Source organism: Homo sapiens, chromosome 16 (assembly GCF_000001405.40).
Source record: "Homo sapiens chromosome 16, GRCh38.p14 Primary Assembly".
Taxonomy (NCBI): Eukaryota; Metazoa; Chordata; class Mammalia; order Primates; family Hominidae; genus Homo; species Homo sapiens.
Genome location: NC_000016.10, coordinates 57,994,676 through 58,022,594, shown reverse-complemented (window position 1 = coordinate 58,022,594; position 27,919 = coordinate 57,994,676). Strand labels below are relative to the sequence as shown.

Here is a 27,919-nt window from a genome sequence, read left to right as displayed (position 1 = left end):
CCTCACACCTGCCCCCCTCCCAATAGGAGCCAGTACCCAAGTCTGGGGAAGTACCATGTTGAGGATGGGGATTCTTCTCTGTGCTCCCTGCCTGCTCAGCCCTGCTGTGAGCACCCAGAGGGTAGACCTAGTCTGGTTCACCAAGTGCCCAGTTCAGGGCCTGGCACAGGGCAGGTGTCAGTTAAGTGCAGGCTGCACAGCCGGAGTTGCCATGTTGCTTGCAAGCCAGAAAGTATGCCCGGCATCCTCCTCCTCTCCAGAAGAACCAGACTAATGATGAGTCGGAGTCAGCAGATCAATGCGGTGGGGAGCAGGAACAAGGCACAGAATGTGCCTGTGTCTTTCAGTGCAGTGGCTGGGAGGCTGCCCCTTTCAGGAAAGGTGGGGTTGCAGGGGCCACCATGGGAGCCTGGGCAACAGGCCCCTCTCCCCACACCTTTCCCTGAAGCCCTATGTCCCCACCCAGATGCCAGGCCTGACCACGAGGTGGTGTGCAGGGCTGGATCAGGGCCACCCCAGCACAGGACCTGAGGTTAGGGCTGAGTACGGCCCTATTTCTCATGCAAGCAAGTCACTTAACCTGTTCTTGTAACAGAGGACTAGACATTCCCACCCTGTTTACCTTTCAGGGGATACTGGGAGGAAGACACGAGAAGGTTCTGGGAAGTGCTCAGTGTCACAGCAGTATAAGGCTTCAATGTCTGCCTATGTGGGTGAGGGATGAGGGTGGTGACCCCTGCCACCTAGCTCCAGGCTAGATGTCCTATGTGAGAACTCTGTGTGTACACCTGGCAGGCTGGGTGACCCCTCCCTACCCTTATTTTACTGAAGCATCATTAATGCCTCTCGAGGCCATCTTGGAAGTCACAGCAGAGACTTCCAAGAATCCTCCCAAACTGTGAGACACAGCTGGACAGGGTAGGGGAAGGTGACAGTCATCTTTTCACTGGGTTAAATACAAGTAGTCCAAAAAAGATCCAAAATAAAAAATGCAATTTTTATTTGTTGAACATAATTTGAAACTGTAAAAAGATTTCTCTGTCCATCACCAGAAATCCAGAAGACACCTGAAGAGGACTGACTGTTTCTTTGCCACGGGGAAGGTGTGATGAAACAATTAAAATCCCATGCATCCCTGGCCCTTCCTCCACGTTGCCCCTCAGAATGCCTGCAGCTGCAGCAGGCAGGAGGCAGCAGGAGAACCCGGGCTGTGGAAGGCCCCTCTGCCTCTCTGGGAAAGCTGCTGGGGAAGCCAGAGGTCACAGTGCATTGGAGGCCTGGCTTTCAGCCACTGGCCAGGCCAAAATGAAACATCTGCTCAAGTCTCCCCAGGCACCTTGCTGGGGGTGAGTGGGAGAAAGAAGTGGAGAAAACTGATGCTGGACCACAAGTTATCACCCTGTACCTTGGCTTTGAAGTGGCCCCTGCTGGTACAGGAGCAGGGTGAGAGTAAAAGTAAATAAATAAAAGCAACATGCTTCAAGGAGAGAGGGTGACAGACCCACTGAAGCACCCCGTGTCCTGGCTCGACCAGGGATAAGCCAGGGCGTGATGATTTAAAACACTCTGATCTGAGGCCAATGGCATCAAAATACAAATTGCTGAAGTGGGAGAGGAAGTGAAGGGCTGTTTGTTAGGGGGACTACAGTGGAGATTCTGGTGAGTGTGGGTGGGCTCGCCAGTGACCCCAATATTTTCTTTGTGTAACAACCAGAGTAAGCATTAGGATGCCCAGGCTGCCCTCTACTGGCAGTTTCTGGGAAGGACCACAACAGCAGCACCCAACCTGCAACCCACAACAGCCGAGACAGGAGAGAGAGAAGAAAGCAAGAGAGAGAGAGGAGAGGAAGAGAGAGAGGAGAGGAAGAGATAGAGGAGGGGAAGAGATAGAGGACAGGAAGAGAGAGAGGAGGGGAAGAGAGACAGGAAGGGAAGAGAGAGGAGAGGAAGAGAGAGAGGAGAGGAAGAGAGAGGAGGGGAGGAGAGACAGGAGGGGTAGAGAGAGGAGAGGAAGAGAGAGGAGAGGAAGAGAGGAGGGGAGGAGAGACAGGAGGGGAAGAGAGAGAAGAGGAAGAGAGAGAGGAGAGGAAGAGAGAAGAGAGGAAGAGAGGAGAGGAAGAGAGACAGAGGAGAGAAAGAGAGGAGAAGAGAGAGAAAGAAGAGGAAGAGAAAGAGAGAGAGAGAATATCAGCACTCAGGGAGGATGAGGAGTGGCTACACCTCCTGCCAGGTTGAAGGCATGGCTGGGGCCTCCTACTGGGAGGCTAGAAGCATCTCCATCGATTTTAGCAGGTTCCTCCATCTCAGCCTGGTCTGCAGAGGGCCCTGGAGGAGGAAGGCCTCTGGTGCTCACTTCAAAGGCATCGAGAAGAACTTGTTCCCAGACTTGCAGCGGACTTGCTCAGTGTGCACGCGCAGCAGCACCTCAGCATCTTCAAACCCATCCACGATTGCCTTAAAACAGCAGCCAGGGGAGGACAGTCACATTAAGGGGCATCTGGGACCCACAGGGCACTGCAAACAAAACCAGCTCACCCAACTTCAGAGGCTGGGCGAGGCTGAGGCTGCAGGCTCCAGGCTCTGCATTGGTGATCTTGTCTGATCACTTCTGTAATCTCTGAGGTTGGTCCTATCATCTCAACTTTACAGATGAGGACACAGATGCTCAGAGCCCTGGATCACAGAAACCAATAAAACCAGGCCTGGGACCCAGGTCTGCCGGAGCCCAAACTAGAGCTCTTTGCCACCTCCAGCAACATCAGGCCAAGCGCAAGGTGGCTCCTTAACGAGGGACCACAGCTGCATCCAGCCTGCACGTTTGGTTTGGTTGCAAAATGTTTTTTAAACATCCAAATTAGTTGCTGACATTTGAAAACTGACAGATTACATGTAAAAATCTAGGTTTCTGGCTTCTCTTATGAAACAGAAGTGCTGGCAACTCTAGGCCAATCTTCCCGCATGGCCACACTCCCTACTGTCTCCCCAACCAGGGCTGGAGTATCAGCCGCCGCTTACCACTTCATGTAACTTGCTGGTTCTCCTCCAAGGGCGCAGATGGGAAAGTGGAATCTTTCAGCTACTTATCAAAATCTGATAGACTCTGGGGGCTGGATGTTCCTTACCCCTGGTACATTTCACCCATTTTCAGTGCCAGGCCCAAGCCTCTGACCTCTGGGCAAGTGGCTAGGACTTCAGGGAAAGCCTGCAGCCTCCTCGCAGATCAGTGTTCTAGGGCAGTGCTCCCTAGAACTGTAATGTGCACACAAATCCCCAGAGATCTTGTTAAAATGTAATTCTGATTTCTTAGGTCTTGGTGGGGGTGGGGGCAAAGATCTGTGTTGTTAATAAGCTTCAGGTGACACTGAAGCTGCTGGTCCAGGGGCCACACCTTGAGTCACAAGGGAAGGTGTTGGGGTCTCCTGCCATGTCATTTGTTTCCCAGGGATTCAGGTTTGGGTGCCTCATCCTCCCCCTCTCCAGCATCTGTCCTGTCATTTCTGGAGTTCAGCGCCCTCTGTGCTCCCGCCCTGGAAATTCACCTGTAGTTCCTGCAGGCACTGCCCCTCCAGCTGGAGACGTGCATCACCCACACACCAGGCCAGGCTGAGGTGGAAAGAAGGATCCTGGGGAGGGAAACGAGAGGCAGGCAGTCACCCGGACGCCTTGGCAGGCCCTGCCCTCACAGCAGGTCTGTGACAGAGCTGTCGTGACATCCCTGCTGGATCCCTGGCCTGCCCAGTGGGAGACAAGATACTCAGTGTTGATCCCAAGCACCCTCCACAGACAGACAAAACAGCACAGGACTGGTCCTTGCTATGGACTGAATCGTGTCACCTCCCCCAAATTCATGTAGCCCTAACCCCCAATGTGATAGTATGTAAAGATGGGGCCTTTGAGGGGTAATTAGGGTTAGATGAGGTCATGAGGGCAGGACCCTCATGATTAGTGCCCTTTAATCACAGAGAGCTTGGGCACTGCTCTCTCTCTCTGTAGCCCCCAACCCCTGCCCCGCCATGTGAAGGCGGCCATCTATATGCCAGGAAGAACCCTCACCAGAAACCGACCACGCTTGGCCGGGTGCAGTGGCTCACACCTGTAATCCTAGCACTTTGAGAGGCCAAGGCAGGCAGATCACCTGAGGTCAGGAGTTTGAGACCAGCCTGGCCAACATGGTGAAACCCCGTCTCTACTAAAAATACAAAAATTAGCTGGGCGTGGTGTTGTACACATGTAGTCCCAGCCACTTGGGAGACTGAGGCAGAATTGCTTGAACCTGGGAGGCGGAGGTTGCAGGGAGCTGAGATTGCGCCACTGCACTCCAGCATGGGCGACAGAGTAAGACTCTGTCTCCAAAAAAAAAAAAAAAAAAAGACATCAACCATGCTGTCACCTTGATCTTGGACTTCTAGCCTCCAGAACTGTGCAAAAATAAATTTCTGTTATTTAGGCCACCCAGTCTATGGTATTTTGTTATGACAGCCTGAGCTAAGACAGTCGTATTCACAGAGGCTTTCCCTGAAGTATCAGAGGGTCATTACATCTGTGACATGAAAGAAAATCCACCCTCTATTCTGATCTAGGACATTCCAGTATACACCATACTTTTCAGATGACATGAACAAAATCCCCAAAGTCTCAAGTTTTGAAGCAACAATAATTGTCTCCATTCAAATTCATACTTATCTCCCTCAGCACGGTTTAAAAACATATATCAAATAAAATGAATGGCCCTTCAAAGCCCTGAGAGTCGACTTAGAGTCCAAGTGCCCTTGGAGGGCCTGGGCAAGGTGCAGGAAGGTGTGTGAAGCTACAACTCCTCTCTGAGGGTCAATCTGACCAAAAATTATTAGGGACATCTACTTAAAAAATGTGAAAACAACACGGGAACATTATGGAGCAGAAGGTACAAATCTCGGGCGTATTTAGGATATAAAGCAAAATTTCTAAGAAATGTTGGACTTTGGGTGGGCTGCATCTGACTACACCTCAAAGCCCTCACCCCCCGAGGTGTGCATCCTCAGAAGGCTGGCATTCAGAGCACCGACACGGGAGGTTCTGAAGGGTCTTCGGTTTGCCTCTTACGAGGGCTTCTTTAAAGACAGTTTTATTCTCATTAGAAATGGGTCAATGGAGAAGCAGCAGCCCCATTCATTACCTGGTAGAAAGTGGTGAGGTTGAATTCCTCCATGACTCTGTCCACCTCTGAAACCAGGTCCAGGAACTGGGCATGCCCTGAAGTGACCTCAAGCCCAATAAAGGTCCTGGGGAGAGGAAGACAACGCAGGCATGAGATGTAGCCTCTGAGAACACAGCCATCTGCGCAGCCGAGCAGGAGCCAGGCAGAAGGCCAAGAGGCCTGGGCCGTGGGTCTCACCGTCTCCCTGGTACACTCGCTTTCCTGCTCCATGAGCCAACTCTCTCAGTCCTCAGATTCTCTGTCTGTAAATCTTCCTTTCCCAGTTCTCACCCACACAGCTCTCCTCCCTTCTCTGGATCTAATAACCCTTCCAGGAACGCCTTCACCCACCACTGCCAAGTCACAAACCCAGAAGCTTCTGCACCCCCATTCTCCATCATCATTCCAATCGCAAATGACTCCTGTCCTCAAGGAGGCCTCTTCTCGAGGACTTTGCTCCCAGGCATCTGCCACGCCTCCCACAAGCACTCAGGCATGCTCTCTCATCTTTAAAAACTCTCCCCTGAACCCACGGTTTCAGCACGTCCCCATCCCATTCTCAGTGAAACTTCTCAAAAAGACCATTTGTCCACCATCACTATCTCTTTCTCACCTCCCATCTTCAACCCACTTTGCTGGGAGTCCTCTTGTCAAAGTTGCCAACAACCTCCACGTTACCAAATCCAAGGGACACTTCGCTGTCCGCCTCGTACGCACCCAGCAGTATCTCACACAGTGGACTCTTCCCTCCTTGAAACCCTTTTCTCTCTTGGCTCCCAAGACATCACCTGCCACGCAGTCTTGGTTTAATCCTGCCTCCTGTCTCCCGGTTCAGTGTCCTCTGCCACCCTCTCTCCTCTCCAGCCTCCCCGTGGTGAAGATCACTGGATCTTCTCCATCTGCACTCTCCAGGAGGCTGATCTCACCCAGCCCCGCTTCCCACACAGGCCAACACTGCCCACATTTCTATCTCCAGCTGGTCCCTCTCCTGAACACCCAGTTGTATATGTGACATTTCCACCTAGGGGTCCAATAGATAGCAAAACCTAGCAGGTACAAACAAACAGGTACAAAGCAGCACTTTTGCTTTTCATCCCACCAGTGTCTCTTATCACAGAAAACGGGGCCAGTTGTTCTAGCCTCAAACCCAGGAATCAATGTTCGTCTTCCCCTTGCTTCACATAAATCCAACCCATTGGTAATTTGGTTGCTTCTGCCTCTAGTGTATCTCCAATGTGTCCACCTCTTGGTCTTCCATGGCCATCACCCTAATCTAGGCCACCAATGGTCCCTCACCTGGACAATGACACCTGGCTCCTCTCTGGTTTCCCTGCATCCACTCTTGCTCCCTTCTATCTTGCCCCCAGACTCCATGGCCACAGACACACCACTAGCCAGACTGACATCCCCAGATATAGATCAGGTCATGCCTCTCCTCTGTTCAAATCCCTCCAATGGCTTCCATTATACTGAAAATTCAAACTCCTTACTTGAGCTTGCAGCCCCTGGATGGGCTAACCCTACCCATCTCATCTCCTATCATTCTCCCTCGTGCTTTCTGGGGTCTGCCTCACTGGCCTCCTCAAACATGCTGAAATCTTCCCTGCCTCGGAGTCACTTAGTTTGCTATGTCCTCTGCTTGAAGCTCTTGCAACAGCTCTTCCCAAGGCTGGCTTCTCATTCTCAGGTCACCATCAAATGCCATCTCCCTGGCCACTTCCCTGGTACCCTCCTGGACTACCCACTCCTGACCATATCACACCACAGTTATTAACAAACACTCTCATTACTTGTTTATTATCTGTCTCCCCTCTGAATATGAGATTGAAAAGAGCAGGGGCTGTGTCTACCTCTTCACTGATGAATCCTTAGTGTACAGCAAATGCCTGGCACAAGTGGGTGCTTAACAAACTTGTGCAGCATGGAATAAATGAATGAATAAATGAGGCCCCTTTCAGAAGTGCTCAGAGAAGGTGGCCCAGTGAGTGCATCAGACAGGGAGGCTCGCTTTGAAGGCAGGATAATCATTTCTTCTTATGTTCATCTAACACTTTAATACTTTTAACTTTTCAAAGGCCTTGGGGCTCATTTGAGCCTTACAACTGCCCAACAGTGGATGTTGGGAGGCGTGTGCCAGTGTGAAAATGAAAGGTCACAGAGATGAAGACACGGACTAAACACCACAACTGGGATGGAGCTGGGCAGAAACAGGTTTCCTGACTTTCACAGGTTTTCACTAAACCAAGATGCTTCTCTCAATCTCTGGGCACCACCCCACTACATGCTCCTCCAGTCATTATTTATTTATTTATTTATTTATTTATTTATTTATTTATTTTTGAGACAGAGTTTCACTCTTGTCACCCAGGATAGAGTGCAGTGGTGTGATCTTGGCTCACTGCAACCTCCTCCTCTAGGGTTCAAGCGATTCTCCTGCCTCAGCCTCTCGAGTAGCTGGGATTACAGGCGCCTGCCACCACACCCAGCTAATTTTTTGTATTTTTAGTGGAGATGGGGTTTCGCCATGTCAGGCAGGCTGGTCTCGAACTCCTGACCTCAGGTGATCTGCCCACCTTGGCCTCTCAAAGTGCTGGGATTACAAGCGTGAGCCACCGCACCTGGCCTTTTATTTTTTTGAGACAGGGTCTCACTCTGTTGCCCAGGCTGGAGTGCAGTGGTGCAATCTTGGCTCACTGCAGCCTCGACCTCCAGGGCTCAAGCGATCCTCCCATCTCAGCCTCCCAAGTAGCTGGAACTACAGGCACACACTACCATGCTCAGCTAATTTTTGTATTTTTCATAGAGACACGGTTTGGCCATGTTGCCCAGGCTGGTCTGGAACTCCTGAGCTCAAGCTATCCACCTGCTTCAGCCTCCCAAAGTGCTGGAATTACAGGCATGCGCTACTGTGCCTGGGATCTCCCAGTTATTTTTCTTAAAGAAAGGTTCAGATTTGGGGATAGCTGCCTTTATAGTCATAGAGTTGGTTAAAAGCAAACAAAAAATGGGACAAACAAGTCCAGAAACAAAGCACTCAATTTTTGCACCAAAGAATCTTCCTCTGATGGTGATTGGGGGTTGGGAGGACCCACCTGGTTTTCTCTTGATTGGTGTAAATCTTTACCTGGTTGGCAGTAAAGAAGAATCTGAAATTTAGAAGACCATATTTCAGGAAAAATCGTAAGAAAAAAAGCAGAAAAAATAGCTTATGTTAAAAAAAAACAGCACTTTGAAAATATAGTTAACTCATTTTGCACTTCATATTATCACCCCATTATGCAGGTGGTATACTGAACCTTAAACATTAGAGCTGGACAAGACCTTAAAATCACCCAGCCCGAGTAACACACAACATCATCCAGGTGCTAGTAAAAATTTTACTTTGTTAATAGCAGTTCATTTCGATAAACAATTTGAGACTATCTCAACTTCACTGATGGGAACTGAGAAAGCCTTATTGATCAAGTAGGTGATAATGGACCACTTAACAGCTGATTCATTTCTTGCAGTTTTTTAAAATAGATGACTCCGATTTCATCTAAGCAATCACGACAACATTTCTTCGTGTGTCAGGGCTGAGCTCAAGCCTTTGCACACTCTGTTTCTCGAATCCTCACACAACTCTGTGAGCAGGCCTACAATTATGCCCATTTTACAGACAAAGAAACAGAGGCATGGTGAAGCTGAATTTGGTGAGCCAGGATTGGAACAGTCAGTCTGCCTGTTTCCAGAGTCCTTGTTGTCACCTATGACGCTTTCGTGAGGGGAATAGGTCTGTTGGTGTGAAATCGAGACAGATGCCCCCACCCACCCACCCCTCAGATCAATAACACGGGAAGAGTCAGGCTCAGCTAGGTAAGTGCTTTGACTTGGACTGGTTCTGTCCTTTATTCTCTGAGACACTAGCAATCTCACCATGGAAAGTCTCCTCACAGAAACAGATCATTTTACAGCCCCCAGGCCAAGGGTCTCACCCCCATCTGAGGGAACATAATATACCAGCATGCTGGGTAGAGCCTCACAATCTGCCCAAGGGCAAAAGTCAGTCAGCCAACTCTCTGCCTCTGGAGAAAATGTAAGGGATCACAGAACCACCAGGAGCTTGGTTAAGTGCAGCTTTTAGGAAGAGTTCTCAAGGTGTCTCCCAAACATCCTGGAGTGGACACTGGATGTCTGTGCCCAACCAAAACTCCTTCTCCTGGTAACCTCGTGTTGCAGGATGGCTCTCCACCCCTACTCCAGAGGCAGGCTGCCCAGGCCTGGCCAAACAGAGCTTAGCATTTCCTCAGTCACAGCAACAGAATCAGGGGTGCACCGCCCACTCTTGGTCACCTTAGGCTCAACCAGATGATCAAAGTTGAACAGACCACACCTGCCCGGGCTTCACTCATGACACAGATCCTTTCCTCAGAGGGAACCAGCCCAGGGGTCCAGGTGCTGTTTTCTAGTCTCTCAGTGAGCAAGGGAACCAGCCACATATACATCCCACAGGGATCAGTATTTCTTGCAATGGACTTTAGGCAGAGTTTTCCTAAGTCCCAGCAAGGGACTCGTGCCCAGTTAAGGAACCACTGTATGCAGGGGAGCCCAGGCCGTGGCTTCCCTGGAGGGGTGCAGTTCATGCTGTCTTCCTAGCGCAAGTGCAGTGTGCCAGTCATCAGCACTAACATAGCCGCTCTCCTCCTTCATCCAGGGGCAGAGCTTCCGCAGGATAAGGGAAGCACTCTCTGTGGAAGGGGGAAGGGCCTGTTAACTCTTTACTCCCAAAGAAAGCACACAGGAGACGGGTCAGACCAGGCAGTCATTCCTGTGACTTGTGCTGAAGCCAATCAGAGAGGGAGGCTGTCTTTCCAGGCTGGTACACCATTAGCCGGGAGATGCGGTGGCTTCGTCATTGTGACAAAGGAAGGGGACAGAGCTGAGATGGTGAACAGTCTGCCTGTGGTGGTGACAGTCAGGTGCCATCTGATATCTTGTCACCCCGGTCCACTCATGCATGAGCCAGTGCTACCTCTGAATCTTTTAGTTATACCAGCCTATAAATTTCTCTTTGGTTTAAGCCACTTTGGGTTGGGCTTCTGGCATGGGCTTCTGGCACCTGTGGTTAAGAGAGTCCTGATAATATACAATCAATCAACTTGATAATGACAATCCAAAGAGGGGGAGGGCTGGACTAGGTTGAGAGATGAGTTTCAGCCCTTATTCCCTGGCCGAGTGTCTGGATTGGGACAAATCCTGTCCTCCTCTGGCCCTCAGAAGGGGTTCAGCTAACTGAGCAGTTTCCTAGTTGGGCAGTGACATCCTATGGAATTCCTGGGCCTATGGCCCCCTGAACTGTGGGAATGGGGCTTTGGCTAGAAGACTGTTTATTTCTGTTTTACACAGCCACACATCAGGCTTTTGTGCAACACCTCATTTGAAAAAAGGCTCTGCTGATAAAGGCAGGGTCAGAAAACCATCAGCCGGGTGGCTTCTTAGGCTCCTTCTAGTATCAACAGTAGAGGATCCAGAAAGATATTCTCTAGGCTCCCTCATTCCCGCACCATGACTCAACAAGCATCTATTTGATGTCTACTGTGAGCAGAGCACTTGGAAAAAAGCTGTGGGGCAATTCAGAGAGAAGCCACAGTCCTGGCCTGGAGGAATGTGGGCTCCAGGAAGGAAGATGGACACAGGAACGACTGCATATGAGGGTGAGTGAAATGACCACCAGGGGTAAAGAACCACAGGACCAACTGATCTCTGGATGGAGGGGTCACCTGTGAAACAACCACAGGGCCAACTGATCTCTGGACGGAGGTGTCACCTGTGAAACAACCACAGGACCGACTGATCTCTGGACAGAGGAGTCACCTGTGAAACAACCACAGGACCGACTGATCTCTGGACGGAGGGATTCTGCAGGATATGCCAACCGGGAGAGCCTCAGTGAAAGAGCAGGGTTTTGATCTGGACCAGTCTAGCAGGAGATGCATTTCTGGTAGGAAAAGAGTTATGAAATAATCTAATAGGTAAGGGGAAAAAAAAAGCCCCAGGCTGGCAGACAAAACCAGAAGTGGGGTCTGGTACTAACCCTTCACCCAAGTGGTGTGCTGAGGGCACCCATGATCTCCTTTCACCCCCATAGGCCCCCAGTGAGGTAGCTCCCACCATTACCATGACCTGTTTGACCTATCACTGTGAAATGATAACATATGTGTTGGTCTCAGCCTCCAGTTCCTGACACAGAGATCCTAAAACCTGTGTCATTTCCTAAGCAGCAGGGGTGCTAGGAGCATCTTTTGTTCTATTATCTGGTCTGTGATCCTGGCTCCTGACGCAGAGCTCCTAAATCCTTTGGAATTTCCTGGGTGACAGGGGCATCTTTGGTTCCAATGAGGCAATGAGGTCCTGGATGGGGGCTGATCACAGAAAGAGCAAGGCATGATTAGAAGCTGGGAACTTTCAGCCCCACCCCCTACCCTCCCGGTATGGGAGGGAAGCTAGAGACTGAGTTAATAATCCATCATGCCTATGTGATGAAGCCTCCGTAAAAATTTGGAACTACAGGGTTTGAGGAGCTTCCCTTGGTGATTAAGAACGCACCCATGTGCTGGGAGGGTGGCTCACTCCCAACTCCACAGGGTCAGAAGCTCCCATGCTCGGGACCCTTCCAGACCTCACCCTACCTATCTCTTCATCTGGCTGTTCATGTGTATCCTGTAACATATCCTTTGTAATAAACTGGCGCCCTAGTAAGTGGACTGTTTGCCTGAATTCTGTGAGCCATTCTAGCAAATGATCAAACCTGAGGAGAGGGTCCACAGAACCTCTGATTTGTAGTGAAATCAGACAGATGTTGTGGGTAACCTGAGAGCTCAACACTGCAGATGGTGTCTGACAAGGAGCGCAGTCTTGTGGGACTGAGTCCTTAACCTATGAAGTCTGCACTAACCCTGGGTTATTAGTGTCAGAATTGAGTTCGATTATAGGACACCCAGTGGGTGTCTGGAGAGTTGGATAATTTGTTGGTGTGGAAAAAAACTCAACACATCTGGTCACAGAAGTGCTGGAAGTACTGAGCAAGAGCTTACAGAAAAACAGCTGGCTTTTCCTACAGAGCAGATACGGCATCAGGGGTGTCAAGAGCTTCCACGGCATGCCCAAGGTCACGGAGGATGAGAAGTAGAGCAGGCAGCCCCAGGAGAGGGGCCGTGTTCTATCTTTAGGTCTGCCTGCCTGCTGGGGTAATGCCCGCAGTAGCTCAGGAGAGGAGGAGAAGCCATGGAGGGGAGGGAGTGGAGAGGCAGAGGGAAGAAGCACTCACCTGTGGAAGGAGGTCATACGGGCTTTCAGAGCCTGCACGAAGGGGAGGATCCAGTGGTGGCGCAGAACCACACTCTGGGACAGGCTGAGGTGGAACACCTTCATCCTTACCAGCCGGGGGACATATGTCTGGGCATGGGGCAGCAACACATCAAGCAGATCCAGGAACTCCTCCTTGGCTTCATCTGGAGGGGAGGAGTAAAGAGGGCGGGCCGTTCTCTCAGCCAAGGTGCCATGGCTGAATGAAGAAGCCCAGAAGGCAGAGGGAAGTCCTTATTACTCTGGGTTTGGGGAGAAAATTACTTGGACAGCAGCCTATGTCTATGTCTTCTAATATAATTTTATTTTCATTTATTTATTTATTTATTTATTATTATTTTTTTTTTTTTGAGAAGGAGTCTTGCTCTGCCGCCCAGGCTGGAGTGCAGTGGTGCAATCTCGGCTCACTGCAAGCTCCGTTTCCCGGGTTCATGCCATTCTCCTGCCTCAGCCTCCCGAGTAGCTGGGACTACGGGCGCCCGCCACCACGCCTGGATAATATTTTTTTTTTGTATTTTTAGTAGAGACGGGGTTTCACCGTGTTAGCCAGGATGGTCTCGATCTCCTGACCTCGTGATCCGCCCGCCTCGGCCTCCCAAAGTGCTGGGATTACAGGCGTGAGCCACTGCGCCCAGCCTCCAGTTTTTCTTAACAAGGTCTACCCTCAGGAGAAACTTACTGAATTACAGCCTAACCTGAAAGTGTTTTATCAGACTCTTAACTGACCTAGGGGAAGTGAAATACCAAACTGCAGCACCTTCTGGTCATCCTGTCCCACCTAGGAAGGGGAAAATTCTGAGAAGCGTGTGGGAAGTTCCCAGTCCAGAGGAACCGGCTCACCAAAAGATTGACACCCAATCACAGGACTACAGAAGGATTCTTGTCCCCCACCACCTCACCACCACATTCATACAGGCCTGTTTACCACAGTTCCTTTTACATAGTACTTCATGTCCAGCTATCGAGGAAAAATTACAAGACATACTAAAGGGCAAAAATACAATCTGAAGAAAAATAGTAAGCATCAGAACCCCTTAAATATAAAAGACTAGAAACCATACAATGTCTGATCTCAGGCCACAATGAAATTAGACTAAAAGTCTGTAACAGAAATGTAGCTGGAAAATCCCCAAATACTTGGAGATTAAAAAACACACTTCTAAATAACACACGGATCAAAGAAGAAATCTCCAGAAAACTTTATAAATATTTTGAACAAAATAAAAATGAAAACATAACTTATCAAAACTTGTGGAATGCAGCAAAAGGTGCTTAGAAGAATATTTATAGCATCAAATGCATATATTAGAAAAGAAGATCTAGGCCGGGTATGGTGGCTCACGCCTGTAATTCCAGCACTTTGGGAGGCAGAGGCAGGTGGATCACTGGAGGTCAGGAGTTCGAGACCAGCCTGACCAATATGGTGACACCCCGTCTCTACTAAAAATACAAAAATAACTGGGCACGGTGGTGCGTGCCTATAGTCCTAGCTACTTGGGAGGCTGAGACAGGAGAACCACTTGAACCTGGGAGGCGGAAGTTGCAGTGAGCTGAGATTGCGCCACTGTACTCCAGCCTGGGTGACGGATCGAGGCTCCCTCACAAAAAAAAAAAAAAAAAAGAAAAAGAAAAAGATCTAAAGTCAATCATCTGAGTTTCATCTTAGGAAAGTAGAAAAACAACAGCAAATTTAATCCAAAGTAAGCAGAAGTAAAGAAATAATTAAAATTAGAGCAGAAATCAATAAAATTGAAGACAAGAAATCAATAAAGAAAATCAATAAAACCAAAAGCTGGTTGTTTGAAAAGATCAGTAAATCAACAAGTTTCTAGCCAGGCTAACTAAGAAAAATAGAGAGGGCACACAAATTACTAAAATCAGGAATGAAAGATGGGACATCATTACAGATCCCATGGATAATAAAAGGATAATCAAAGAATACCATGAATAACTTTATGTCCACAAATTTGATAACCTAGATGAACTGGAACAATTCCTTGAAAGACCCGATCTGCTAAAACTCACAAAAGAAGAAATAATCTAAATAGGCCTAAATCTATTAAACAAATTGAATTATTATTATTTTTTTTTTGAGACAGAGTCTCACTCTTTTGCCCAGGATGGAGTACGGTGGTGCAATCTTGGTTCACTGCAATCTCCGCCTCCCAGGTTCAAGCGATTCTCCTGCCTCAGTCTCCCGAGTAGCTGGGATTACAGGCACCCGCCACCAAGCATGGCTAATTTTTTTGTATTTTTTTAGTAAAGACAGGGTTTCACCATGTTGCCCAGGCTGGTCTCAAACTCAGGCAATCTGCCCGTGTTGGCCTCCCAAAGTGCTGGATGATAGGCGTAAGCCACTGCACCCAGCCTGAATAAATAAATAATTACCTTCCGGCTGGGCTCTGTGGCTCACACCTGTCATCCCAGCACTTTGGGAGGCCAAGGTGGGTGGTTCACCGGAGGTCAGGAGTTTGAGAACAGCCTGGCCAACATGGCGAAACTGTGTCTTTACTAAAAATACAAAAATTAGCCAGGCGTGGTGGTAGGTGCCTGTAATCCCAGCTACTCATGAGGCTGAGGCAGGAGAATAGCTTGAACCTGGGAGGCAGAGGTTGCAGTGAGCCGAGATCATGCCAGTGTGCTCCATCCTGGGCAACAGAGTGAGACTCTGTCTCCGAAAAACAAACAAACAAACAAACAAACAAAAATTACCTTCCAAAACAGAAGGCACCAGGCCCAGATGGGTTCGGTTCACTAGAGAATCCCACCAAACATTTAAGGAAAAAATTAAACCAATTATCTATAATCTTTCAGAAGACAAAAGCAGAGAGAATACTTCCTGACTTATTCCATGAGGCCAGCATTATCCTCATACCAATACCAGAAAAAGACATTACAAGAAAACTACAGACCCATATCTCTCATGGACAGAGATGCAAGATTTTCAAGAAAATATTAGCAAATTGAATACAACAACATATAAAGAGAATAATGCTCCACAACTAAATGGGATTTATCCCAGGTATTCAAAGCAGGCTCAACATTCAAAAATCAATTAATGTAATCCATCCAATCAATAGGCTAAAGGAGAAAAATCAAATGATCCTATCAATAAATACAGAAAAAGTATTTGACAAAATCCAATACCCATTCAAGATAAAAACTCTCAGAAAACTAGGAATAGAGGGGAACTTTGTTAACTTGATAGAGAATGTCTAAAAATACCTATAGCTAACTGATAGGAAACTCCAAAGCTTTCCCATTAAGATCAGGAACAAGGTAATGATGCCTCCTCTCACTATTGCTTTTCAACTCATACTGGAAGTCCTAGCTAATGCAATAAGGCAAGAAAAGGAAATAAAAGGTATACAGATTAGCAAAGAAGAAATAAGCCTGTTTTTCTTTTTTTTTTCCCCAAGACAGAGTCTTGCTCTGTTGCCCAGGCTGGAGTGCAGTGGTGCACTCTCCGCTCACTGCAACCTCCACCTCCCGGGTTCAAGCAATTCTCCTGCCTCAGCCTTCTAAGTAGCTGGGATTACAGGCATGTGCCACCATGCCCAGCTAATTTTTGTATTTTTAGTAGAGATGGGGGTTTCGCCATGTTGGCCAGGCTGGTCTTGAACTCCTGACCTTGTGATCTGCCCGCCTTGGCCTCCCAAAGTGCTGGGATTACAGGTGTGAGCCACTGTGTCCGTTTTTTTTTTTTGTTTTTTTTTTTTTTTGAAACGAGGTTTTGCTCTTGTTGACCAGGACGGAGTGCAATGGTGCAATCTTGGCTCACTGCAACCATTGCCTCCTGGGTTCAAGTGATTCTCCTACCTCAGCCTCCCAAGTAGCTGGGACTACAGGCATGTCCCACCACGGCTGGCTAATTTTGTATTTTTAGTAGAAATGGGGTTTCTCCATGTTGGTCAGGCTGGTCTTGAACTCCCAACCTCAGGTAATCTGTCCACCTTGACCTCCCAAAGTGCTGGGATTACAGGTGTGAGCCACCACACCCAGCGTGTTTTTCTTCATAGATGACATAATTGTCTACGGAGAAAATCCAAAAGAACTACCAAAAAAAATTTCCTGGAAGTAATAAATGATATAGCAAGGTTGCAGTGTACAAAGTTAACATACAAAAGTCAACTTCTGTATATTTGCTTTCCTATACACCAGCAACGAACAAGTAGGATTTGAAATTAAAGATACAGGGTTTACCTTAGCACCCCCAGCAAAATGAAATACTTAAGTATAAATCTAACAAAATAAGTATAAGATCTATATGAGGAAAACTATAAAACTCTGATGAAAGAAATCAAAGAAGAACTAAGTAAGTGGAGAGATGTTGTGGGTGGCAAGCCATCCAGGTGCCGAGGCAAGAGACCGAGGGCACGAGTTGTTCCAGTATAATAAAATATATAAAACAACAAGAGTTATACTAGATCTAGATCATAGACATGATTATATATGAATATTATTAATCATTAGTTTGTAGCAATTACTCTTTATTCCAATATATAATAATCCTCGCTCTATAATCATAACCTAGGAAAAACCAGGCCATACAGAGATAGGAGCTGAGGGGACATAGTGAGAAGTGACCAGAAGACAAGAGTGCGAGCCCTCTGTCATGCCCGGACAGGGCCACCAGAGGGCTCCTTGGTCTAGCAGTAATGCCAGCGTCTGGGAAGATGCCCATTGCCAAGTGGACCGTGGTCTAACGGTAGCGTCAGTGCCAAGGGAAAACACCCGCTACTTAGCAGACCGGGAAAGGGAGTCTCCCTTTCCCCAGGGGAGTTTAGAGAAGACTCTGCTCCTCCACCTCTTGTGGAGGGCCTAACATCAGTTAGGCCCGCCCGCAGTTATCTGGAGGCCTAACCATCTCCCTGTGATGCTGTGCTTCAGTGGTCATGCTCCTAGTCTGCCTTCACACCTGTACACCTGGCTCTGCCTTTTAGCTAGCAGTAGCAAAATTAGTGAAAGTACTAAAAGTCTCTGATATGCAGAAATAATGGTGTAAGCTGTCCTCTCTCTCTCCCTCTCTCTCTCTGCCTCAGCTGCCAGGCAGGCAAGGGCCCCCGTCCAAGTGGCGTGACTCACGTAACCTTGTCAATCATTGGAGATGGCTCACACTCCTTACCCTGACCCTTTGTCTTGTATCCAATAAATATCAGCGCAGCCTGGCATTCGAGGCCACTACCGGTCTCCGCGTCTTGGTAGTAGTGGTCCCCCGGGCCCAGCTGTCTTTTCTCTTATCTCTTTGTCTTGTGTCTTTATTTCTACAATCTCTCGTCTCCGCACACAGGGAGAAAACCCACCGACCCAGTGGGGCTGGACCCTACAAGATATTCTATGTTTATAGACAGAAAGATTCAATATTGTAAAGATGTCAGTTCTTCCCAATTTGATCTACAGATTCAATACAATCCCAGTCAAAATCTCAGCAAGTTATTTTGTGATACTGACAAACGGATTCTAAGGTGTACATGGAGAGGTAAAAAACCAAAACAGGCCAAGTGCTGTGGCTCATCCCTGTAATCCAAGCACTTTGGGAGGCTGAGGCCAGAGGATTGCTTGAGCCCAGGAATTCAAGACCAGCTTGGGCAATATAGTGAGACCCTATCTCTAAAAAAAACCAAAAAAAGCCCCCAAAAAACCCAGAATAGTCAACACACTACTGAAGGAGAAGAACAAAGTTGGAGGACTGAAACTACCCAACTTCGAGACTTAACTATGTAAAGTTACAGCAATCAAAACAGTTCACCAATGGTATTGGTGAACAAATAGATGAATGGAACAGAATTGAGAACCCAGAAATAGACCCACATCAATACAGTCAACCGATCTTTGGCAAAGGAGCAAAAGCAATACAATGTGAAAAAGAGAGTCTTTTCAACCAATGGTGCTGGAATAACTGGATATCCATATATAAGAAAAGGAATCTAGACACAGACCTTCCACCTTTCACAAAAATTAACTCAAAATGGACACAGAACTAAATGTAAAATGCAAAACTGTAAGATTCCTGAAAGATAACATAGGAGAAAAATGTAGATGATCTTGGGTTTGGTGACAACTTTTTAGATATGACACCAAAGGCAAGATCCATGAAAGAAATAATTGATAAGCTGGACTTCATTAAACTTAAAAACTTCTGCTCTGTGAAGGACAACGTCAAGAGAATGAAAAGACAAGCGACTGGCTGGGAAAAAAATGTATTTGCAAAAGACGTATCTGATAAAGGACTATTATTTCAAATATAAAGAACTCTTAAAACTCAATATTTTAAGATCCAATATTAGACCCACATCATAATATTAAATAAACAAAAATGATTAAAATTTATTAATAAACAAAAATGATTAATATTAATAAACAAAAATGATTAAAAAGTGGGCAAAAGACCTTAACAGACACCTCACTGAGGAAGATACACAGATGGCAAAAAGCATTGAAAAGATGATCTGGATCATATGTCATCAGGGAAATGCAAATTAACAGACAACAGTGACATATTGCTACACACCTATTAGAATGGCTAAACTCCAGAACACTGTCAATACCAAATGCAACTCCTTTGGGCAAAAACCAAGGAATGTAATTGCTGGATTTTATGATAAGAGTATGTTTAGTTTTGTAAGAAGCCACCAAACTGTCTTATTTGAGATGGAGTCTCACTCTGTCACCCAGGCTGGAGTGCAGTGGAGCGATCTTGGCACACCACAGTCTCTACCTCCCAGGGTCAGTCAATCCGCCTACCTCAGCCTCTCAAGTAGTGGGAACCATAGGCGTGTGCCACCACACCTGGCTAATTTTTTTGTATTTTTGGTAGAAACAGGGTTTCTACCTGTTGCCGAGGCTGGTCTCAAACACCTGGGCTCAAGTGATCTGCCTGCCTCCGCTTCCCAAAGTGCTGGGACTATAGGTGTGAGCCACCTGGCCTAGCCAGTGCTACCCCCATTTTAGATTTGAAGAAACTGAAGCTCTGAGAAGTCTAGTATCTTATAAAGGGCACCCAGAGTAGTGGGCAGCGGAGTGAGGTCTGACTCTGAAGCCTGGGCATTTTTTGTCTTCCACCTGCTGATCAGAGCTAGGGTGGGATTTGAACCTTGCACACCCAGCGTACCCAGGGCCCTCTCAGAAATAAAGTGCCTGGCATGACCTTGACACCCTGCTCCAGATTCTCCTTTGGTCACCTCCTCGTGAACAGGGAGAATATTATACCCAGAGGTAATACACATTTTAGGCTACGAATTCAAAACCAAGATGACAGAAAAATCCCCAGTTCTTGAAACCTGCTCTTTCTCTGCTAAGTCAATGACTTTCCCACCACCAGTGTTAGAGGTTTCTGGTTTCTTCCTTCTAGTTGGGGCCAGATTCTGCCCTTCATGAGGCACCTACGGGTCTATGGGTCTTGGCAACTTGCCTTTCACACATCACTCACATGGTACATAGACGTGGGTGGCCCAGTTGCCTCGCTCGTGGGGGAAGGTGCGCACCCGTCCCCCGTGTTTTGTGCTGTCATCTTCAGGCCCCTCCTCGGTGCCCGGGAACATGTTCAGCACACTGTCAGGTACTGGAAATCTCTGCCTGGGAAGGGGGCTCTGGCCACTGCAAAAGAAAAAAAGAAAAATGAGTACATTTATCCTGTTAGCATTCTCTACCTTTGTATATACCACAAAAGTTGTAACCCCTTATATATGGTGGCTCTGAGTGTGTGTTTCCAGCCTGGTGCTGGAAGCAGCTTCTAGATAGCGAAATTGTTTCTCCAGTATTGTCTCATTGGGGTCTCCAACTCTGGGGCACAAGGTCCCCATGGGAAACAACAGGGCATGCAACAATGTGGTTCAGGGGTCACATTTCCAAGCTGGACAGGCTGCAGCTGGAGTAGCACTTTCTAGCTCTATGACCTTGGGCAAGTCATGTCCCCTTTCTGGGCCTCAAATGCCTCATCTGAAAGTATATGTCTACCTGATAGAGCAATTGTGGGATCAACTGAGCTACTGCTTGTAAAGCACTCAGCAAAGATAAGGCCTAGCATTTAAGAATCTAAGCCCCAGGAAGTAAGGCCGACGGTTTTGTTCACCACTGAATTACCAGACCCCAGCCTGGCAGGGAGTGGGTGCTCAGTGAATATTTACTGGATGAATGAAAAGGCTCTCCCTACGCTTTAGCAAGTATTACTATCGCAATTGTATTCAAATCAGGAAACGGACCTAGGATGGTACAGGGATGTGTGCCAGGCGATAGAGTGGGCCAGCGCGAGGCTGGACCCGAACCCAGGTCTGGCCTCCCAACTTGGCCCTAGCCAGGTGGGGCCACTCTGGAGCTTTGTCTGGGGTGGGGGGGAGGGGTATATCTTCTGGATCCTCCTTTCTTCCTGCGTCCCCTTTTCCTTCCCAGAGCCGCCCCGCATCCTCCCTCCCCACTCCACCCCCAGACATTCGGGTCCCGTCTGGCTCTAGGGTGAATGCGCGCGCCCTCCGGAGAGACTTCCTCACTCCTCACCGACGGTGGCTCCCATCCCCCGGCCTGGTCCGCATCCCGTCCTCGGACTCATCCTCGGAGCCGCTGCTGCTGTAGCCCACCAGGGGCGCCGCGCTCATGGGGCCTCATCCAAGACCACCAGAGCAGGTCCACCAGCAACCTCAACCGGCACCCGGAGTTCCGCTGTGCCGGAAGCGCCCTCCCAGGGGCGGGGCCTGGGCTGGCACCGCCTCGGGGCGGAGCCGGGAGGGGCGGAACCCGGCAGGACAGTGGTGAAGATTCAGCCCACCGACTCCAAGCTGTCTGCCGGCTGCGCACGCGGATCTGGTCACCTGCAGCCTCCCGGCACCCCGCTGGGACCTCCCCAGCCTTCGTGTACCCATTTCATATATCGCTCAGGGCCCTCACCTTTCTGCCCGCTGCTGTCTGCAGCCACCCGGGACCAGACATACCAGACACGACAGTCCCGGGTCAGCGCACTAGACCCAGCGGAGACCCCTGCCTGCCCCGAGCCCGGCCAGGATCAGAGGTCCTGGAGCCCCCTCCTCAAACCAGCCCAAAGTCCAAGCCCCTAAAAGCCAAGCTGAGCAGTTAGGGGCGGATCAATTGTGGCAGACCAGAGCCTCTAGGAGGCCCCTCCTCTCCTGCGCAGAGCCGGGCCGAGGGCGGTCACCCGGAGCCCCCTCCCCTAAGCCCGAGCGGGGTGGCCGGAAGCAGAGCGCCCTTCCTCGGTTAGTCGAGGCGCCCAGGCCTGGCGACTCGAAAACCGCCCGGAGCACCCGGCTTGTCCGACCTGGCCCGGCCACGGGGTCCCCGGCAGGGGGCGGCCTCGCTCCGCGCCGCCCGCTCCTCCCGCATTGGCCGCCGCCGCCCGGGATGCCGCTCCTCCCCCGGCCCCGCCTCCCTGGCCCCCGCGCCGCCCGCCCGTCCGCCCGTCTCCGCAAGGCCATCGGTCCGTCCGCCCGCCCTCCCGGCGCTCCTCGCCCCGGCCCCGCTACTCCGGCAGCGCGCGTCGCTTCCTCCGTTCCGGCCGCCGCTAGCCCGTCCCCCGCCCCCGGTCCGGCCGCAGCCGCTACGCGAGGCCGGGGATTGGCAGCGCGCGTAGGCCGCGCCGCCGCGGATGGAGCCGGAATAAAGGGGCGGCCGAGAGAGCAGCTGGTCGCCGCTCGCCCCGCGCCTGCCCTGCAGGCGGCCTGGAGCAGGTGAGCGGCGGGGCGCCCGGGGCCGCATCTGGGGGCCACCCCCGCGCCCGCCGCACCCCTTCCTCTGCCGGCCCGGCCGCCCCCCCGCGCCCCTCCGCCGCGACCTAGCGGCCTCTTGAGCTTCTGGGCGGCCCAGGCCGGGCCTCGAGGCGCAGCCGCTTCCTGGGCCCGGCCTGTAGCCCTGGGGCCTTTCTCCAGCCCGGCCGCCCTCGGGGCTCGCCCTCGGGTCGCAGCGGCCGGGCCATCCCGGACGAGGGCTGACAGGACGCAGCCCAGCTGGGCCTGCAGGCAGGGCCGGCGGGAGGTGATCGGCTTTCATTCGGTTTCTCAGGGAGGAAGAAGAGACGGGGTGGGGCGCAGGTGGGGGGCCTCCCCTGCCTCTCCTTGCCTCCTCTCTCCCCTTTGCGGAGTGATCACAGAGGCTTCCTGGCTGCACCTTGCTGCAGGAGGGCCAGGGTGGGCAGGGGGTGCTGCAGACCAAGCCAGGGGACACTGTCTGACAGCCATTCATGCCAGAAAAAGCAAACAAAACAGTGGGTTGGCACAGCGGACCTACAGGCGCTCAGAGAAGCCCACCTTCCCCCTCTCTGTCCCGAGAAGGCTTAGAGTGGTACCTGCTTGCTCAAGCAACCTGCTGCCTCCACCCAGAGCAGCCGCTCCTCTCCTCCCTCCCTTCCGGAAGATGCTGAGGATGACAGCTTTTAGCCTGACTCTTACATTTCTTTGGCAGAGCAGTTAGAGGCCAGACTGTCCTGTGAAGGCTTCTCCTTCCTTCTTCCTCTGCTCAGGAGAAAACTTACAAACTTTTAAATGTAAGAGGCAGATGAGCTGGGAACCTGGAAGTGGGTTGCATCTGACTCTGAAAGTTCCTCCCTCTCGCTGGCATTACCTCATGCTGCCACAAAGTGGTGAGTTAGAGATTTGCCTGGGCTGGGTGGGCTTTACCTTCCAACAATTACCCAGAACTTTATAGGCTTGGAGTAAGGGAATGGAGTTGTCTCTAGAGAGGTGATGAGAAATGCTCTGTGGTTAGCATGCTGCATCCTGCATTGCCAAGGCAGACCAGGGCAGTTTCTTACATTTTCCTGCAGGCCTTGACACTATGAGATTCAGAGGATTTAGGACTTTGTGTGTGTGTGTGTGTGTGTGTGTGTGTGTGTGAGTTCTGGGAGAGAACCAGAGTGAGGAAGTTCTGCTGTGTGGACATCAAGCCTGGGTGGTTCTGTGGCCCTCTCATCTAGCCCCCATCACCTATGGGCTCTGGTTCCTGTAGGGCCACCCATCCTGTCACGCGGAGAGAGAATGGGCCTGTGGTCAGGGATAGTTGAAGGGGTGTGGTCAGTCCCTCATAGGTGAGAGTTTTTGAAATGGTCCTTGGTTCCACGTAGTTGTCCTAAATATTGACTGTCAGAGGCCATTTGCCACTGGGCTCTCAGACCTGGGAGGTCTGGCCTCCTTAGCTCTAAGTGGTGTGGCCCGTATTAAGACTCAGGGTAGCAACAGGAGAGGAGCTGCGGGCCTTAAGGAGGATTCTGTATTGTAGGCAGATAACCCCGGACTCTCACCTGTGAGTCTCAGCTAAAGGGTTGGCAGGAAGCTGGAGGGGACTTGTGGAGGCTGGGATGTCCTGGCCCAGGGGCGGGGCACTGAGGTGGGTGGGGGTGGAGGCCGCTGCCATTTCCTCTGCCTGGAGGAGCTGAGCTGGCTGCAGACCTCTCTGATTGCCTAAGAAGGGAGGAGTCCTGCAGCCCTGAGCACCTCTGCCTTCCCCGATGTGTGGTTTGTGATGGTGTGGTGAGTGCGGGCAGGACAGGGAGAAGGCCCAGGAAACTGCTGCTTGTTCCTTCCTCGAGCTCATACTTTCTCTCTTCTCTACAGAACGGATCACTGGGGAAGGCAGAGTCTCCCCGGCACTGCTGGGACCCTCCCTTGAAGAGCCCCCATGTCCTGTAGGCAGAGCCTTGTAGTCTGTCCGCTTGGTTACTGACTCGGGCTGTCTGACCAGCCCCTCTTCTGTGCCTTGTCTGAGGTCCTTGTCCATCTCTGTGATTGGGCAGCTTCTCTCTCTGGATTGGGTCACGTGAAGCGGGAAACTGAAGCCATTACTCTCCAAACCCTGTTTCATCTTCCCAAGCATGTCGGAAAGCTGGCAACAGCCGCCACAGACGCAGCCGCAGCAGCCACAGCCACCGCAGCCTCAGCACCATGCAGAGCCACCGCCAGCCCTGGCAGAGCACACGCTGCCTCCGGGCACGGCGGAGAACCCCCTGGGCTGTGCCGTCTATGGCATCCTCCTGCAGCCAGACCCCGGCCTGCAGCCCCCACAACACGCACCCCTGCAGGCAGCAGGAGAGCCAGGCCCCAAATGTGGCGTGTGTGGTCACGACCTGGCGCACCTGTCCAGTCCGCATGAGCACCAGTGTCTGGCGGGCCATGACCGCTCATTCCAGTGCACACAGTGTCTCAAGATCTTCCACCAGGCCACTGACCTGCTGGAGCACCAGTGCGTGCAGGCTGAGCAGAAGCCCTTCGTCTGTGGGGTCTGCAAGATGGGCTTCTCACTACTCACCTCACTGGCACAGCACCACAGCTCCCACAGTGGCCTGGTGAAGTGTTCCATCTGTGAAAAGACCTACAAGCCAGCTGAGGCAGCGGAGCCAGCCACCACAGCCGCCCCGTCGCTTCCCGCAGCACCCGCGCCTTCCACTGTCACCCCTGCTGAACAGGCCGACAAGCCCTACAGCTGCCCCATCTGCCAAAAGCCCTTCAAGCACCTGTCGGAGCTCTCTCGGCATGAGCGGATCCACACCGGTGAGAAGCCCTACAAGTGCACGCTGTGTGACAAAAGCTTCAGCCAGTCGTCGCACCTGGTGCACCACAAGCGCACGCACAGCTCCGAGCGGCCCTACAAGTGCGCAGTCTGCGAGAAGACCTTCAAGCACCGCTCTCACCTGGTGCGCCACATGTACGCGCACTCGGGCGAGCACCACCTGTTCCGCTGCAACGTGTGCGAGTTGCATTTCAAGGAGTCGTCGGAGCTGCTGCAGCACCCGTGCACGCCAAGTGGGGAGCGGCCCTTCCGCTGCGGCGAGTGCCAGAAGGCCTTCAAGCGGCCCTCGGACCTGCGGCAGCATGAGCGCACACACAGCGCCGAGCGGCCCTTCAAGTGCGACCTGTGCCCCATGGGCTTCAAGCAGCAGTACGCACTGATGCGCCACCGGCGCACACACAAGACCGAGGAGCCCTTCAAATGCGGCCTATGTGAGAAGGGCTTTGGGCAGCCCAGCCACCTGCTCTACCACCAGCACGTGCACACCCTCGAGACTCTCTTCAAGTGCCCCGTGTGCCAGAAAGGCTTTGACCAATCTGCCGAGCTGCTGCGGCACAAGTGCCTGCCCGGCGCGGCCGAGCGGCCCTTCAAGTGCCCTGTGTGCAACAAGGCCTACAAGCGCGCGTCGGCCCTGCAGAAGCACCAGCTGGCCCACTGTGCGGCGGCAGAGAAGCCCCTGCGCTGCACGCTTTGCGAACGCCGCTTCTTCTCCTCTTCCGAGTTCGTGCAGCACCGCTGCGATCCGGCCCGCGAGAAGCCACTCAAGTGCCCAGACTGCGAGAAACGCTTCAAGTACGCGTCAGACCTGCAGCGGCACCGGCGGGTACACACAGGCGAGAAGCCCTACAAGTGCCCCAACTGCGACAAGGCCTTCAAGCAGCGGGAGCATCTCAACAAGCACCAGGGCGTGCACGCCCGCGAGCAGCAGTTCAAGTGTGTATGGTGCGGGGAGCGCTTCCTAGACGTGGCCTTGTTGCAGGAGCACAGCGCGCAGCACAGTGCCGCCGCCGCGGCAGCGGAGGGCGCCTACCAGGTAGCCGCCTGCCTGCCCTGACTCTGCGGCTGTGGCCCCTACCAGCCTGACCTGAGTCGGCGCCGTGGGCCCAGCAGGCCTCGCGCAGCCTAGCTCCTCACAGCTGCCTTGCACCAAGGGCCCCACCCAGCTCGGTGTTCTGAGACCTCGGGAGTGAGGACGCAGGGGTATGAGGCAGGGAGAGGGTGTGCCGCTCGTACTCCTGGCACCAGCGGGCAGTGCGGGCGGCCAGATTGCTGTGGCCCATCCTGATTCCACAAACCTCTTTCCCATGACAAGATTCACTTTCTTGAGAGCCATCAGCACCCCCCTTATTTCCGGGGCACTGGAGCCAGGCTGGAAGTCAAGTGGCTTCTCCCTGCCCTAAGGAGGGTGTGATGCCAGCCCAACCTTCCCATATCTTTCAAGCTAGCAGCCACATAGGTTAGGAAAGCGGAGGCTCATGGTGGGGCTGGGGCCCCAGAGGTGGGCTAGGTGTAAGGCATCAGTTGCCGTGTGGGGGAGAAGGCCAGCTTTAAGACGTAGGCCTGGGGACTGGGAGGGCAGAGGGTGAGTCACAGCCCTCTCCGTCTGCTCTAGCCAGGGGCGACGTGTCCCCAGGTTTCTGGCAGGGGAGATGTGCAGGGTGGGTCTTGGGGCTGGGTCTGCCTGGAGACCAGTGGGCCCAGGGGGAAGGGGGAAGCTGAGAAGTTCGTGTGACACCCTCAGCCAAGGGACAGTGCCATCCTTGGGGACAGGAGGAAAAGCAGCCTGTCTCTGCTAAGGGCAAATCCTCCGGTTTTGGAAGCGCCCCTCCCACCTTTGTAGTGCAGTTCCTAGGTGTGGTGGGGAATGTGCCGTGCTCTCAGCAGACAGAACTGCTGGTGTGAAAGGCAGGGATTGTCAGCCCACCTGAGGCTGGGAGGAAGCAGGACCAGGCCTAGGATCTCCCCAGCAGATGCAAACAAGTGTCCTCCCCTGAATTGTGTGAACCAAAGCGTCAGGGGCTTGGGGCACAGCCCCAGTCAGCTCAACCCAGTCCTGCTTCAGAGCCAAGACTAGGCCAGGGTGGGGACCCCCCCAGTACCCTCCCTACATCAATGTGGCTGCTGGCCTGGACCCCAGGGGTCTGGTACAGCCAAGATGTTCTGGACAACATCCAGCTACTTCAAAGGCCAGAGTGTCCTTTGGGTCCTCCTAGAGTCCCCCTAGGTCTCTGGCTGCCCATGAGGCTCATGAAGCAGAGGGTATCCCAGTCATAGGGAGCAGAAAGAGCAAGTGGGTTAAGGAAGCCTGTGGGGGACCTGGTGGATGGAGTTGACCAACATCGCTGGGTGGCTACGGCCCTCCTTAGGAAGCCCAGAAGGACCTTTATTATTAAAATAATCATTTTGAACCCTGCTCTATCCCCTGCCCTCTTCCAGCCCCACCCCTCCCTGGTCTTGAAAGAAGACTAATCAGTGGGCACACCAAGGGCCCTGAGGGGCAGGGAGATGCCACCATGCTTCTCTGTCACCGTAAGAAGGCTGACCAGCCACGCCCACCTCCTCTGTCTGACTGAGTTCCTTCCTGTGGCCACAGGGAGGGGCTGGTCCTTCCCCTCGGTGCTGGCTCTCTGTCACAATGCCTCAAAAGACATGGAACCCAGGCCTACAACCGTCCCAACTGCTAATTCTTTTCCTTTCATTTTGCTTTCTGAAAGCAGTTTGTTATACTATTCATAACATTGTAGAGTTTAATTTCATGTCATTTTGGATCTTATATAAAAATGTGAGGATTTGGATTTTTAAAAAGAATGACTCCATTTTAGGTAGCCACTTTTGATGTTAATATATAGTGAGTCCAATGTATGCTTTAGAAGTAAAGACATTGACCGTCACAGA

General features: G+C 51.4%; 2 protein-coding genes across 9 annotated transcripts, besides 10 other annotated features; one reads left to right on the top strand and one right to left on the bottom strand.

Moving 5' to 3' along the window:
• On the bottom strand, positions 977-22,992 carry USB1 (U6 snRNA biogenesis phosphodiesterase 1). 5 transcript variants are annotated; one of them, NM_001330568.2, is made up of 7 exons: positions 22,912-22,992; positions 19,950-20,116; positions 12,483-12,666; positions 8,269-8,322; positions 5,156-5,261; positions 3,540-3,623; positions 977-2,454 (listed from the first exon to the last, which is right to left on the bottom strand). In NM_001330568.2, the coding sequence occupies exons 2-7, from the start codon at positions 20,059-20,061 to the stop codon at positions 2,350-2,352; spliced, it is 645 nt and encodes a 214-aa protein (NP_001317497.1). In that variant the 5' UTR covers positions 20,062-20,116; positions 22,912-22,992; the 3' UTR covers positions 977-2,349. The 5 variants fall into 5 exon arrangements, with proteins under 5 accessions (NP_001317497.1, NP_078874.2, NP_001182231.1 ...); NM_024598.4 differs by lacking the exon at positions 22,912-22,992 and adding an exon at positions 21,014-21,188; NM_001195302.2 differs by lacking the exons at positions 8,269-8,322; positions 22,912-22,992 and adding an exon at positions 21,014-21,188.
• Positions 9,320-9,851: an enhancer, noted in NCBI's record as "H3K27ac hESC enhancer chr16:58046648-58047179 (GRCh37/hg19 assembly coordinates)". NCBI's record gives its function as "activates a minimal SCP1, AML or CMV promoter by ChIP-STARR-seq in naive H9 embryonic stem cells {active_cell/tissue: H9 hESC(naive)}" and the evidence as "EXISTENCE:reporter gene assay evidence [ECO:0000049][PMID:30033119]".
• Positions 9,852-10,384: an enhancer, noted in NCBI's record as "H3K27ac hESC enhancer chr16:58046115-58046647 (GRCh37/hg19 assembly coordinates)". NCBI's record gives its function as "activates a minimal SCP1, AML or CMV promoter by ChIP-STARR-seq in naive H9 embryonic stem cells {active_cell/tissue: H9 hESC(naive)}" and the evidence as "EXISTENCE:reporter gene assay evidence [ECO:0000049][PMID:30033119]".
• Positions 20,950-21,049: an enhancer, noted in NCBI's record as "active region_10920". NCBI's record gives its function as "activates an Ori minimal core promoter by ATAC-STARR-seq in GM12878 lymphoblastoid cells {active_cell/tissue: GM12878}" and the evidence as "EXISTENCE:reporter gene assay evidence [ECO:0000049][PMID:35858748]".
• Positions 21,076-21,370: an enhancer, noted in NCBI's record as "tiled region #3942; HepG2 Activating DNase unmatched - State 1:Tss, and K562 Activating DNase matched - State 1:Tss". NCBI's record gives its function as "activates a minimal TATA promoter and a strong SV40 promoter by Sharpr-MPRA in HepG2 and K562 cells {active_cell/tissue: HepG2 | K562}" and the evidence as "EXISTENCE:reporter gene assay evidence [ECO:0000049][PMID:27701403]".
• Positions 21,076-21,379: a biological region, named in NCBI's record as "Sharpr-MPRA regulatory region 3942".
• Positions 21,130-21,379: a silencer, noted in NCBI's record as "silent region_7541". NCBI's record gives its function as "represses an Ori minimal core promoter by ATAC-STARR-seq in GM12878 lymphoblastoid cells {active_cell/tissue: GM12878}" and the evidence as "EXISTENCE:reporter gene assay evidence [ECO:0000049][PMID:35858748]".
• Positions 21,543-21,712: an enhancer, noted in NCBI's record as "experimental_43822 CRE fragment used in MPRA reporter constructs". NCBI's record gives its function as "activates a minimal promoter by MPRAs in K562 erythroleukemia cells, with activity observed for both the introgressed and non-introgressed 16:58034872 variant alleles {active_cell/tissue: K562}" and the evidence as "EXISTENCE:reporter gene assay evidence [ECO:0000049][PMID:34662402]".
• Positions 21,670-22,269: a silencer, noted in NCBI's record as "silent region_7540". NCBI's record gives its function as "represses an Ori minimal core promoter by ATAC-STARR-seq in GM12878 lymphoblastoid cells {active_cell/tissue: GM12878}" and the evidence as "EXISTENCE:reporter gene assay evidence [ECO:0000049][PMID:35858748]".
• Positions 21,923-27,919, top strand: ZNF319 (zinc finger protein 319). 4 transcript variants are annotated; one of them, NM_001384366.1, is made up of 3 exons: positions 21,923-22,194; positions 22,930-23,102; positions 24,073-27,919. In NM_001384366.1, exon 3 carries the CDS (start codon positions 24,330-24,332, stop codon positions 26,076-26,078), a length of 1,749 nt encoding a protein of 582 aa, NP_001371295.1. In that variant the 5' UTR covers positions 21,923-22,194; positions 22,930-23,102; positions 24,073-24,329; the 3' UTR covers positions 26,079-27,919. The 4 variants fall into 4 exon arrangements, with proteins under 4 accessions (NP_001371295.1, NP_001371296.1, NP_001371294.1 ...); NM_001384367.1 differs by having other exon boundaries at positions 22,925-23,102; NM_001384365.1 differs by lacking the exon at positions 22,930-23,102.
• Positions 22,320-22,449: a silencer, noted in NCBI's record as "silent region_7539". NCBI's record gives its function as "represses an Ori minimal core promoter by ATAC-STARR-seq in GM12878 lymphoblastoid cells {active_cell/tissue: GM12878}" and the evidence as "EXISTENCE:reporter gene assay evidence [ECO:0000049][PMID:35858748]".
• Positions 22,570-22,839: an enhancer, noted in NCBI's record as "active region_10919". NCBI's record gives its function as "activates an Ori minimal core promoter by ATAC-STARR-seq in GM12878 lymphoblastoid cells {active_cell/tissue: GM12878}" and the evidence as "EXISTENCE:reporter gene assay evidence [ECO:0000049][PMID:35858748]".

Bases quoted from the DNA above. Each gene is read 5' to 3' on its own strand.
- ZNF319 (NM_001384365.1), top strand. From the start codon at position 24,330: ATGTCGGAAAGCTGGCAACAGCCGCCACAGACGCAGCCGCAGCAGCCA.
- USB1 (NM_024598.4), bottom strand. From the start codon at position 21,111: ATGAGCGCGGCGCCCCTGGTGGGCTACAGCAGCAGCGGCTCCGAGGAT. The intron at 12,667-19,949 runs GTGAGTGATGTG...CCTCCCCTCCAG, and splicing joins CACCCACGTCTATGTACCAT to ATGAAGCCAAGGAGGAGTTC. The intron at 5,262-8,268 runs GTGGGTCCTCCC...TCCTCTCCCCAG, and splicing joins ACCAATCAAGAGAAAACCAG to GACCTTTATTGGGCTTGAGG.